This window comes from Homo sapiens, chromosome 2, assembly GCF_000001405.40.
Source record: "Homo sapiens chromosome 2, GRCh38.p14 Primary Assembly".
Taxonomy (NCBI): Eukaryota; Metazoa; Chordata; class Mammalia; order Primates; family Hominidae; genus Homo; species Homo sapiens.
The window spans coordinates 32,394,773-32,409,083 of NC_000002.12; the positions used below are offsets into that span (position 1 = coordinate 32,394,773).

Genomic DNA, 14,311 nt, shown 5'->3' on the forward strand with positions numbered 1-14,311 from the left:
TCAGCTATGATTGTGCCATTGCACTCCAGTCTGAGACTCTGTCTCTTTAAAAGAGAAAGTTTTAAAGAGACTCTGTCTCTTTAAAAAAACAACAAGAGGCTGGGTGCAGGGCTCACGCCTGTAATTCCAGCACTCTGGGAGGCTGAGAGGGGTGGATCACAGGATCAGGAGATTGAGACCATCCTGGCTAACACGGTGAAACCCCATCTCTACTAAAAATACAAAAAAAATTAGCTGGGCGTGGTGGCAGGCGCCTGTAGTCCCAGCCACTCGGGAGGCTGAGGCAGGATAATCGCTTGAACCCGGGGAGGTGGAGCTTGCAGTGAGCCGAGATTGCGCCACTGCACTCCAGCCTGGGTGACAGAGCGAGACTCAGTCTCAAAAACAGCAACAACGACAACAACAGAAACAAATAGTGTAAACCAGCCAGACTCTTTCTCTTATACTTAATATTTCAGATGCTTTAGTATAGCAATGAGAAAAGTACTAGATCAGGGATTGCATATATGTGTACCTCTCTTTGATTTAGTGGTCATTTTCTGAATTTTCAAATAATGCAGGCAATTAATAAATATTTGGAGGTTTCAGTGTATTGTTGGACCTAATATTATAGGCTAATTTTCTTATTTTCAGTATAGAATTTTACTTAAAATTATGAACTTTTAAAAATAACTTTTATTATAAAGCTATTTTAATAATGATTTACCTTTTCTGTCTCTTTTCTTTATAATTTTGCAGCCTGCCTCATCTGGAGATGATAGAGCCATGTGTTTTACTTGTAGTGTATGCCTCGTTTGTTGGGAACCTACTGATGAACCTTGGTGAGTCTTGATGTTTCTGGGCATAATAGGCTAAGTCAGTCGTGTAAATAATGCTTCTAAATTTTACTTTTCTGCTTATGATATAATTTTTTGCCTTTTTGCCACCTATATTTTTGTCATTGTCCTGAGAATGAGCTAGCCCTGTCTATACTCTGGCACACCACTTGGCATACAGTGTCTGTAAGTTTGACTTTCTAAAAATTGTACACAAGGGAAGTACCAAACAGTAGAACCACGCTCTAACGAAAACCGGAAAGCTATGGTAAAGTGAACTCCAGCGTGAGCTTCAGCAGTTGAATCTTGGTCTGTTGAGAGCATGTTGTCAGTAGGGAATCCATGGAGAGAGCCTTATAGTATACATTTCTAATTTTGAAGTAATTTTAGGGAGTCTTTGATGTCTCTGAATTTTAGTGCATGAAATTTTAGAACCTGGTTAAACATTAGAGATCATGTATTGAAACTTCATTTTTACAAATAACTATTCTGAGGTCTTATTAATAGAAATAATAGTATATTATTATAGCAAATATTTATATAAGATGGTATACTAGGTACCATTCTGAATACTTTATGTATTTTTAAATCATTTAATTCTCATGTTTCCCTGTGAAGTAGGTACTATTGTAATCTCCATTTTATAGGAGGGAACTATGAATATTTTCCAGTTTAACCTTTACAGTCACTCTATGAGATAGGAGTTACTATCCCATTTTAAAATGAAGAGAATAAAATTTGCTGAAGGGCATATGGCTAGTGATAGAGCCAGGGTTTGGTTTTAGGATATGTTGCTTATTTTGTATGAAAATTAGTTTGAAGTCTCTGAATGTTAAATCAGCTGATGTGCATGGGGCAAACTTGCTAAAACGTATTGCAGTGTACCTATGGAGTTCAGATTGGAAAATACTGTATGAAAAATTCAAGTTGTATCTATCTGCAGGCAGAGAGTTGAATACAGTAGTCCCCCTTATTTGCAGGGCATGCATTCCAGGACCCATTGGATACCTGAAACAGCAGATAGTACTGAACCATATACATACTATATTTTTTTCCCTATACATCCATAACCTATGATAAAGTATAATTCATAAATTAAGCACAGAAAGAGATTAATAACAATAACTAATAAAATTGAACATTTTTTTTCCCTTCAGATGGAGTCTTGCTCTGTTGCCCAGACTGGAGTGCAGTGGCGCGATCTCGGCTCACTGCAACCTCTACCTCCCGGGTTCAGGCGATTCTCCTGCCTCAGCCTCCCGAGTAGCTGGGAGTACAGGTGTGCGTGGGCCACCACACCCGGCTGATTTTTGTGTTTTTAGTAGAGACGGGGTTTCGCCATGTTTGCCAGGTTGGTCTCGAACTCCTGAGCTCAGGTGATCCACCCACCTCAGCCTTCCGAAGTGTTGGGATTACAGGCGTGAGCCACTGCGCCCGGCCTAAAATTGAACAATTTTAACAATATACTGTAATAAAAGTTCTGTGACTGTGGTCAGTCTGTCTGTGTTTCTCTCTCTCCAAATATCTTACTGTACTGTACTCATCTATTTTGGGACCATGGTTGACCATGGGTAACTGAAACCATAGAGAGTGAAGCTGTGGGCCAGGCATGGTGGCTCACGCCTATAATCCCAGCACTTTGGGAGGCCGAGGCGGGTGGATCACCTGAGGTCAAGAGTTCAAGACTAGCCTGGCTAACATGGTGAAACCCCGTCTCTGCTAAAGATACAATAAATTATCTGGGCGTGGTGGTGTGCACCTGTAATTCCAGCTACTCGGGAGGGTGAGGCAGGAGAATCACTTGAACTGGGGAGGCGGAGGTTGCAGTGAGCCGAGATTGTACCATTGCACTCAAGCTTGGGCAACAAGAGTGAAACTCCATCTCAAAAAAAAAGAGTGAAGCTGTGGATAAGAGGGGGACCTGTTGCATGAGCAATTTTCAGTTTAAGTTGAGTTTCTGTTTGGAATTGTCTTTCCCCGTAAAGGCTGTGTGTGTGTGTGTGTGTGTGTGTGTGTGTATATATGTGTGTATATATATATATGTATATATATACACACACACACACATATATGTGTATATATATATACACACACACATATATATGTACACACACACACACACACACATATATACACCATTTTAGTATATATTTTTTAGGTCCCTATGCCAATCCTCAAAAAGTTATTTAACCTATACCTGAAAAGTTATACAGTATTATCAAATATTATTTTCTTTGTAAATATTTTCTATGGAAAGTTGATTAAAATTTCTAACTTGGGATACTGAAAACCCATGTTTTCTTGACATGGCCAGGGATTCAGGGAGTCTACCTCTTCTTTGCACCAGCATTTGGGATTCCTCAAACACTCAAGAAGTTGATTTGGTCTCTTAAGACCTGGGGCAAGTCTTCCAAATGGGTAGGAGGGAAGAGGATTGATGGAGGCTGGGGAACCTAGGCACCTTCTGAATTGTAAAGGGGAAAGGAAAAATTTGAAAGGGCGAATGGGACTCATATTTTGACTGTGCGAGTTGATAGAGAGTTACTTTGGAGGGAGGTTGAAGTTAAAAACATAAAAAATGGACCATACCCTAGTAACTAGCAATTCCACTTCTATTTACGTACCCTAGGGAGTTAATTGCTCTTGTAGGCACAGAGGCATAAAGTGGATGGTCACTGCAGTTAAAAATCGGAATCCTTTTAAATGCCAATCAGGAGGGGAATAGCCAAATAGAATGTGCTATGTTCATATAATAGACTGTGGTCCAACAGTTAAGGGGAATGAACAGTAAGATCTCTGTTAATCACCCTCAGTAACTTTCAGATATGTTACTGTATCAAGAAATCTTTCGTGTTAATAGAATGGTAGATGATTGGATACATGATAAAATGTATATGTGTCATGTACAGTGACACCAATTGTTTAACAATTTAAGACCCTGTATTTTATTTTTAAAATTTTTTTTCATACATACTTCCACATCATGTATTTTCTATATGTACATTTATGTATGTAAACTTAAAAAATATTTTAGAAATGTATCACTTAAATTTATAATGGTGGTTTCCTGGAGGTGGGATTGGAAATTATTGGGATTAGATTTTAAAATTGATGTGGGTCTTTAGCTTTATTTTATATAGCCGCGTGTAACTTATATAAATAAAATTTTATTGAAAAAGTTAAAACTCAGGAAAGAGAGAGAGACGGAAAGGGGTAAGGTACGCTAGATTTAGCTGGGAGGGAACCTGGCCCAAATGTCATTTGCTTGGAAGTGCACTGTAAAAGGATTTAGGAAAGACATCTACATATTAAAAATTGCCCAGGATTTATAGATGGATTTATATATGTAAGTTGTAGGTGCATTGTAAAAAGAAATACATACATTTTAAGGAGTAGCATGTTTTATGTGTAAAGTTCTTTCTTTGCCATGGAAATAAAACAATGAGTTTAAAAACAATGGTTCTTTAAGAAACATTTATTTTTAAAATTTTATTTATTTATTTATTTATTTTTTTGGAGACACAGTCTTACTTTGTTGCCCAGGCTGGAGTGCAGTGGCGCGATCTTGGTTCACTGCAACCCTTGCCTCCCAGGTTCAAGAGAGTCTCGTGCCTCAGTTTCCCAAGTAGCTGGGACTACAGGTGTGCGCCACAATGCCTAGCTAATATATGTATTTTTAGTAGAGATGGGGTTTCCCCATGTTGGCCAGGCTGGTCTGGAACTCCTGACCTCAAGTGATGCACCCATCTCAGCCTCCCAAAGTGGTGGGATTACAGGCGTGAGCCACCACGCCCAGCCTATTTTATTTTTTAGATACGGGGTCTTGCTATATTGTCCAGGCTGAAGTGCAATGGCTATACACAGGTGTGATCATAGCTTACTGCAGCCTCATATTCTTGGGCTTAAGCAGTCCTCCTGCCTCAGCCTCCTGACTAACTGGGACTATATGCTTTACCATCACGCCTGGCTCATGGGTTCTTGTTTTGGTAGCAGGATCCTGACATTTCTAATGCCTTATAATTATAGCTAATAGAAATAAAAATAAGGAATAACCAGAAAGAAATATAAAGGAATCATAAAGTTGAGCAGATAGGTGCTAAGTTGATCCTGCTTACAATATTTGAGATAATTCTTAAAGTCATTATACCAGTCTTGATATGAGGTCCTAGTATTTTATTTTTATATTTTAATTTAAATTTTTAAATTTTTTATTTTTTAGAGACAGGGTCTTGCTCTGTTGCTCAGGCTGGAGTGCAGTGGCACGATCGTAGCTCACTGCAGCCTTGAACACCCAGGCTCGAGGGATCTTCCTACCTGAGTCTCCCGAGTAGCTGGGAATACAGGCACATGCTACCACACCCAGCTAATTATTTTTATTTTTATTTTTTGTAGCAATGAGGTCTCACTATGTTGCCTAGGCTGGTCTCAATCTTCTGGCCTCAAGGATCCAACCACCTTGGCCCCCCGAAGTGCTGGGATTACAGGTGTGAGCCACGGTGCCCAGCCTGTATTTTATATTTCTTAAACTTGTTATGTTTTTAATTTAACATTTCTTCTCGCTCAGTAAGCATTTATTTGAAAGAAGTAGTGTATAATTTATGAACTTTACATTCCTAAGGCTCTTAGGAAATAAATTTTATTTAAAAGTTATTTGTCTGATTTGATCCTATAGTGAATACATAAGGTATATTTCTGTGTTCTTAATATATATTATTTTATTCATACTAGAGATCTTTCTGCTTTCAGATCTTTTTTTTTTTTTTTTTTTTGAGGTGGAGTCTCACTCCGTTGCCCAGGCTGGAGTGCAGTGGCGCGATCTCGGCTCACTGCAGCCTCCGCCTCCTGGGTTCAAGCAATTCTTCTGCCTCAGCCTCCTGAGTAGCTGGGATTACGGGCGCCCACCACCATGCCCAGCTAATTTTCGTATTTTTAGTAGAGACGGGGTTTCACCGTGTTGGTCAGGCTGGCGTCGAACTCCTGACCTCATGATCCACCCGCCTCAGCCTCCCAAAGTGTTGGGATTACAGGCATGAGCCACCGCACCCGGCTGCCTTCAGATCTTTACTAAAAAACTTTTTAGTAAAATAATTTAGTAAAATATTTAGTAAAATAACTTTTTGTGTTATGAGTGGCATTTATCGAGTTTCAGCTGTATATCATTTATAGTTGTGGCCCCTGATAGATATGGAGAATTTTAAATTGAAACATAGTAGTTAATCATTCAAAGCTGTAGGAAACCAGTGTGAGGAAATAACAGGAGTTTAAACAATTTTGTAGTATGTAATATAGCATTGTATTGGTTTTTCAGTTTTTTCTGAGATTGACTTTATAATCAGTTAAAGTGAGTAACAACTGCTATTGTTGAATGTTTGGAATATTGAATGTGTGAATTTGTAAACGGTTGAACATGTTAGAGTGATCTTCATAAAACTGAATGATTTGGTTATATTAAGTCTTTAATGATGAATACTTTAAGTTCAGTTAAAAAAAGATGATGATCCTGGAGTTCTGTTTTAATGTACAAACTGAATTGCTTTATTTTTAGTAAACTTTTCCTTTCTAAATCTATGCAAAGGTCTGAACACGAAAGACATTCCCCAAACTGCCCATTTGTGAAAGGTGAGCACACACAGAATGTGCCATTGTCAGTCACTCTTGCAACAAGTCCTGCACAGTTTCCTTGTACGGATGGAACTGACAGAATATCTTGCTTTGGGTCGGGGAGCTGCCCTCATTTTCTAGCTGCTGCAACTAAACGAGGAAAGATCTGCATATGGGATGTTTCCAAACTTATGAAGGTATGTTTGAATTTTGAAGTAACAAATTAGTAATTGAAAAAAGATCAGTTGTAAACTTAGGCTTTTCATTTGTTTAGGTGCACTTAAAGTTTGAAATTAATGCCTATGATCCAGCAATTGTACAACAGCTTATTCTATCAGGAGACCCAAGCTCAGGAGTTGATTCAAGGAGACCAACTTTGGCGTGGCTGGAGGACTCCTCTAGTTGCTCAGATATACCAAAATTGGAAGGAGATAGGTATGTGAGTTTGTTTTAGTAGTATTTAATAGATGTTACATGTTTTCCTAAATTTTATATTCTCATAGTTCTAATAATTAAAGAGGAGGAAAAAAAAGTTACGCAGTTAAGAGATCAGAGAGTAAATGTTTGGTTAGAAATCTGAAATCTGTGATTCTTGAAGAAAAATCTTCATTCAGAAACACCGTAGTTTATAAAATATGCTTAACTTTCTATCACAATCTATGTCAATTGGAAATAATTGCCACATTGAACAATAGATGATGAAAAGTCAACATTGGAAAGTCTAAATAATGAAATGAAATTCTATTGTAGTTTCACCTTCTGCTAAATCTTTTCATAGAGCATTCGAACTAGATGATTTCAGTTTCCGTTTTTTCATTAGCACCTCAAATTATGGCAGTGCTAATGAATAATAATAATGGGATGACCTGAGGTGAGGCAAGAGGATCTAATTGTTTAAAACAGTGTACCAGTAGTCAGCAGTGAGTTGAGATACCATAATTATTGCTATAGAAATATTTTGGTAAAATTGCTGTTCTGGATTCTCCTTCACTCAACTTCTCTGAGAGATTCCTGATTTTTGTGGTGGGGTGGGAGAGTCAAAGTATCACCCTCTTTCACCCACTTGTTTCCTAAGAACCACTGTGGTTTTGACTGAACTGGGCTAGTAAGATTCTGTAGGTGGAGGGGAAGAAGATTGTGTAGGCAGCCATGTGAAATGGAGCTATTTAACTGTGATCAGATGTCTTGATAGACTGAGAATATCTGCCATTTCACTTCCAGGGGCTCCTTATGTTACTGACATGTGATGGGTGTTACTCTGTAGTCAGTGATTTATCATTTTACTTCACAACCCCTTTGGTGGGATGTCCTTTCATTAAGGAATAATGTAAAGTTTTATTAATGGAAATTATTTCATTAATGGAATTAGTGGAAAATTTACAATATATGTGTTACTTCTGTCTAGTTCCTCTTGGTAATAACATGTTGATTAAAGCCTTGTGGTTGTTCTATTAATATAAATCTCTGTGAAAGCTTAATGGGAAAGCAGCTTAACTGTTGTCTGAGTTTCTGACCATATTTTGCCAATAGGACTAGATATTAAGCATGCTTAATTTCTGTGATTTCTTAGAAGTTAGTGGAAAAGTAATAGAAGATAATGAAATTTATATGTCCTTCTAGGCACTTACTTTAATTTGAACTTTGTCTTGAAGTTTTGTAATTTGGGGATTAAAAATGGAATCAAAATATACTTCTAGGATTACATACACCCATACACATATAGTCACACCCTCCTAGGTAAAATCTGCATTTTAGATAAACATGTATTCTGTATTATTAGTGGAAATACTTCTCAACATTATATGGGGTAATGTGCTTGAGTTGAGGTAATCTCTACTTGCTTTTAAGAAATTCACAATCTAGGGTCGAAGGTCAATTTTCTCTGAAGAAAGTCTCAAACAAATCATACAAAAACATTAAGTTGATGTGGTAGGAGGAAGCTGAAGAGGTGAAACTTCATCCCTAACCTTAAGCCCCCTCTCTTCACTTCCCCTCCCCAAGAAGTAGGAGCAGTCCTGTTGGAATTGATAGTGAATATAATGAGCCACACTACCTCTCACTTTATGTGACACAAGATCCAATATGTTTGGTTATAAAATATACTATGTGGGTTTCATTAGCTTGAAGAATAATACATTAATTGGAAAAATCTAAGCTTATCCAAGAAGTTTAAAGTAATTAGCAATATAGTTTGCTTAGAATAGTTTTTGTAAAATTTGTTTTTATTTCTTATTTACATTGAAGGACTAAGGAATTGTTTTTGACAATTTTTTCTTAGAAGACTATATTTGTCTTCTGAATTAAGGAAGAAGATATGCTAATACATTTAATTTTAATGAATTAAGATTTCTTCTAGATGATTCACTTGTCATTTGTATATCAGGTCAAGTTGGTAAAAATTCCTTGAATGTAAATGAAATTGTTTATGGGATTGCTGTAAACCAAGGTACTGTTACAATATTAGTATGTCTGTTTTTCAGAAACACATATAATCTTAACTAAACATTTTTACTTTAACCATAATATTTATTTTGCATGTTTATTGCTTTGTAAAAGGTTTTGCAAAATGTAGAAGGCTTTAGTAAATACAGTGCCTATTATATAAATAGTGCATGCTTATTGCAGGAAAATGGGAAAATGCAGGAGTGGAAATTGATGAAATATAGAGTAGTCATAATCACACTATGGGATTATGGTAACATTTATATGTATTCTAGTTTCTTTTTAAAATGTGTGTGTGTTTTTTTTTTTTTTTTGGAGACAGAGTCTCACCCTGTCGCCCAGGTTAGAGTGCAGTGGCGCAATCTTGGCTCACAGCAACCTCTGCCTCCCAGGTTCAAATGATTTTTCTGCCTTAGCCTCCTTGAGTAGCTGGGACTACAGGTGCCCACGACCCCTCCTGGCTAATTTTTTGTATTTTTAGTAGAGAAAGGGTTTCTCCATGTTGGCCAGGCTGTTCTCGAACTCCGGACCTCAGATGATCCACCTGCCTTGGCCTCCCAGAGTGCTGGGATTACAGGCGTGAGCACCACGCCCAGCCGCATGTGATTTTTTAAAAAGTTTTATTGAAGTGTAATTTTCAAACCATACAATTCATGTAAGTGTACAATTTAGTTATTTTATTCATATAATTTTTTTTCTTTTTTTTTGAGAGAGTCTTGCTCTGTCGCCCATGCTGGAGTGCAGTGGTGCGATCCTGGTTCACTGCAATCTCTGCCTCCCAGGTTCAAGTGATTCTTGTGCCTCAGTCTCCTGAGTAGCTGGGACTGACCCGTGCCACCATGCCTGGGTAAATTTTGTATTTTTAGTAGAGACGGGTTTCACCATGTTGGCCAGGCTGGTCTCAAACTCCGGGCCTCACGTGATGTGCCTGCTTCAGCCTCCAAAAGTGCTGGGATTATAGGTGTGAGCCACTGCATCTGGCCTTAGCCATAAAATGTTTTTGTCACAAAATATTTTAAAAGAATGTGATTTTACAAATATATATATATAATTTTTTTTTTTCTCTTGAAACAAGGTCTTGCTCTGTCACCCGGGCTCACGGCTCACTGCACCCTTTACCTCCTGGGCTCAAGTCATCCTTCTACCTCAGCCTTCTAAGTAGCTGGGACTAAAGGCATGTACCACCATGCCCAGCTAATTTTTTATTTTTTTGTGGAGATGGGGTCTCACTGTGTTGCCCAGGCTGGTCTCGAATTCCTGGGCTCAAGCAGTCCTCCCTCCTTGTCCTCCCAAAGTGCTGGGATTACAGGTGTGAGTCACTGTGCCTGTTGCCTGATTATATTTTTGAGAACTTTCAGAATAAAACATTCTTTGCTAATTTAAGGCTTTTATCTGGCAACTGTCTTTGAAATATCAAGACACCTGAATTCCTTTAAAACATACTACTACTTAATTTTATTGTTCATCTTAGTACAGCAGGTTAATACTTGGTTATTTATTTTTCTTTAATGGGCAGCCATTCTATACTTAAAACCTGTTTTCTTGGTTTGGACTTCTTCATTCTTGATAATTCCCAATTATTAATATTTCTTCTTGGGATTCATTTTTACACTTACTCTGTTTCTCTGAAACCAGCCAATTAGGCTAATGAATTAGCAGCTGATTTTAAACTTTTTTTGCATTTTTTGCTTTTGTAAATTACAGCATTAAATTGGTTTATGGGCAACTGTTATCACCTGAAAAAACTAAAACAGAGAAACTTTTTCAAAAATATATAAGTGAATTTCCCCCAGCCGCCGCAAAATATTTCAAACATTGCCTTGGAGTGCAGTAATATCCTTAAGCATTTTCAGTGCGGAATACCACTTCATATTCTGTATAAAATAACATCGTAGGCCAGGTGCGGTGGCTTATGTTTGTAATCCCAGCACTTTGGGAGACCGAGGCGGGAGGATCACAAGGTCAGGAGATAGAGACAAGACTTTGTCTTGTCTTGATGACCCCCATCTTCTGAGTTGTCATAGTTTTCCTATATGTAAAGGAGTTCTTAGCCTCTCCAAAACAAAATACAGAACAAAAATAAAATTGCATGTACATGTGAGTACACAAACATACACACTTGCTTATACAACTATTATGTTTGGTTTTAGGCTGTCCTGAATTCAGTAATAGAATAGTTCTTAATGCTTTACTACTGCAAGCTGGTGCTTGATTTTATTAGTTGCTGCTGTCTTTTATATTTTTGTTTGCCCAAACTGTCCTTAGTCACACAGTAGTCTTCAAATTCCTACAAATGTTATTATGGATTCTTGGAGGTTTCCATACCCTATTTCAGTTAGGCATTTATTTAATGATTTAAGAAGATTTTTGTCAGTGTTGTTAATCAGTTATGATATCAAACTACTCTTTATATATCATTTAAGCCTATTTTAATTATATGGTTGAGATGTGTAGTAGTGATTTTAACACTGTACTTTCAGGCCAGGCATAGTGGCTCATGCGTATAATCCCAGGACTTTGAGAGGTAGAGGTGGGAAGATTGCTTAAGCCCAAGGGTTCAAGACCAGCCTGGGCAACATGGTGAGACCCCGTCTCTGCAAAAATTAAAAGAAAAAAGTAGCTGGGCATGGTGGCGTGTGCCTGTGGTCCCACCTACACGGGAGGCTGAGGCAGGAGGATTGGTTGAGGCCAGGAGGAGGTCAGGGCTGCAGTGAGCTGTGTTCCTGCCACTGTACTCCAGCCTGGATGACAGACTGAGACCCTGTCTCAAAAAAACCCACAAAACCAACTGTTCTTTTTTCTTTGCTTTCTCATATGATGTATACTTTTTTTGAAATTCAAATTGTTTACTTTGTTTTTTGATTTAAGTGATGATTTACTGGAGGATTCAGACAGTGAAGAGCATTCCAGATCAGATTCTGTGACAGGTATGTAAAAAGTATTAGATAATGTATTTAAAAAATTCTTTACACAGTTGTGCATACAGCTAACTACCACTTAATTCTGAATTTCTTAGTTAATGCTAACTCTAAATTTTTGCTAGTATACACAGAAGACTGAAATATTGTGTGTCAGAGATCTCAAATTAGTAGTATGTACATAGTGTTCCATATTTAAAATTTAAATGGTACCTATTTGAGCCAAAGGAATTACAGTGGATAGTTACGTTAAAGTTTTGTCACATATGTCAGGTAATTAAATGTTTTTATTTGTATAATGTATTCTGTTAACTAAAAGTAGTGTTTAAAGCTCTTTATTCATGTAGGTGAATAAAGAACTACATTTTAATGTGTGAAATTATAGACATTAAAACATCAAGTAAATGCTGCCTTACTAGCTTTTAAGATACTAGGGCAAAATAATATACTTCGTATTTTAATGTTATTTTGTAGGAAAAGCTAATAGTATGTTTCAAAATAGTTTTACTATGTCAGAATTTAAATCCTAACTCTTCTACTTAATATAGTCTGATTGCATTTCCTGATATATAGCATGGTGGTATTAAAGTCTGTTATTTAGAGTTTTAAGAATTAGGCCAGGCTTGGTGGCTTACGTCGGTAATCCTAGCACTTTGGGAGGCCACAGCGGGTGGATCACCTGAGATCAGGAGTTCGAGACCAGCCTGGCCAACATGGTGAAACCCCGTTTCTACTAAAAATAAAAAACAATTAGCCAGGCGTGGTGGCGCATGCCTATCCCAGTTACTCAGGAGGCTGAGGCAGGAGAATCGTTTGAACCCGGGAGGCGGAGATTGCAGCGAGCTGAGATTGCGCCATTGCACTCCAGCCTGGGCAACAAGAGAGAAACTCTGTCTCAAAAAAAAAAAAAAAAAAAAAAGATTTAGATAAGATAAGTTCATATAAAGTGTAGTGCCTGGGAAGTACCCAGTATTTTTAAAAAGTGACCATTATTAAATTGTGGCTATTGTTTAATGTTAGATGCTGTGTACTATGGACATATATAACTTAAATCTTTTTAGAAGAGGAATGGTTTTGTATAGTACAGTTCAAAAAAATTATAGTTAACATTTGGTAGTAAATATTCTTTAAATTTTATCATCAGATTTTTTTGAAAGGCACTAAATGGAACACTGGACAATTTTGGGTTAATCTTTAGCAGTCTTTTGAAGCAGTTCTTAGCAATGAACAAAAAAAATCACCAAATAAGGCAGGAAAATGCCCTTAAAAATGTGCAAATGTGTAATTCGTTCTAGAGAAGTTAAAAATTGTTTTTTTTTCTTTTAAAAAAACATAGACTGAGGAAGCTAATGCTCTTTTCCTATTTTGTTCTTTTGCAAAAACATAAGAGGTTACTACTACATTTTCTTTCTTTGTTTCTTTCTTTCTTTTTTTTTTGAGACAGAGTCTTGCTCTGTTGCCCAGGCTGGAGTGCAGTGGTGTGATCTCAGCTCACTGCAACATCCGCCTCCCGAGTTCAAGGGATTCTCTTGCCTCAGCCTCGTGAGTAGCTGGGATTATAGGTGCCTGCCACCACACCTGACTAATTTTTGTATCTTTAGTAGAGATGGGGTTTCACCATGTTGGCCAGGCTCATCTTGAACTCCTGACCTCAGGTGATCTGCCCACCTTGGCCTCCTAAAGTGCTAGGATTACAGGCGTGAGCCACCGTGCCCGGCCAGACCTGGCTCTTTCTTTTGTTTTTTTGAGACGGAGTGTCCCTCTGTGGCCAGGCTGGTCTCGAGCTGCTGACCTCAGGTGATCCACTTGCCTCAGCCTCCCAAAGTGCTGGGATTACAGAGGTGAGCCACTGCGCCCGGCCAAGTTTTTGAACTCTTTCAAAAAATAACTCCTTGGTCTTGTTAAATTACTTAAACTGTGGGCTTCAGTTTTTCCTTTGTAAAGTGTTTGCTATGTTAAGTTTTTTTTGATTGTCACTGGAACCTTTCCTTTGTGTGCTATAGTTTTGTTATTTTCCCTGGGTCTAAGGATCTCAGTACATGTTTTTACAGTTACAATACTCGTATTTGGCCAATTTTCTTACCCTTTTTCTACCTTTATTCTTTTCATCTATGCCTGTTTGATTTTTCACACATTTTAAAGATACTGTAATCATGTTTACTTTAGCTAATAGTGTCTTGAAAATTATCATGTATTTTTGTCGACTACATATAGCACTTCATTTAGGGGTGTAAAAATTGTCTTTATGTATTAAACAGTAGCTGTGGTAAGAGAAAATATCTTTCCAGTTCAAAATTTTTAATTGCCTCATTTGAGGATTTGTAAGTAGCTTATTCATTCACAGTAAAAGTATGTATCTTCTAAACTAATTTTGTTATATTGGAAGACCATTGGTGACTTTATGGAGGCTTATAGAGTAGTCATGTATATATATTTGATATTAATGATTGGTGTCTTCTCTTCCTGAAGTATCTAAAAAGTGATAAGGTACCATTTCAGACTTATCAGAGCATATCCAATTTGGTGGAAATCACA

General features: G+C 37.5%; 1 protein-coding gene across 50 annotated transcripts in view; it reads left to right on the top strand.

Moving 5' to 3' along the window:
* Window positions 1-14,311, top strand: part of BIRC6 (baculoviral IAP repeat containing 6) — a 261,856-nt gene that overhangs the window by 37,750 nt on the left and 209,795 nt on the right. For all 50 annotated transcript variants that reach the window (XM_006712055.4, XM_005264451.5, XM_047445167.1 and 47 more), the window contains exons 6-9: window positions 739-821; window positions 6,391-6,613; window positions 6,691-6,851; window positions 11,727-11,785. In XM_006712055.4, the coding sequence (XP_006712118.1) occupies window positions 739-821; window positions 6,391-6,613; window positions 6,691-6,851; window positions 11,727-11,785 (526 nt within the window). The remainder of the gene's footprint in view (window positions 1-738; window positions 822-6,390; window positions 6,614-6,690; window positions 6,852-11,726; window positions 11,786-14,311) is intronic.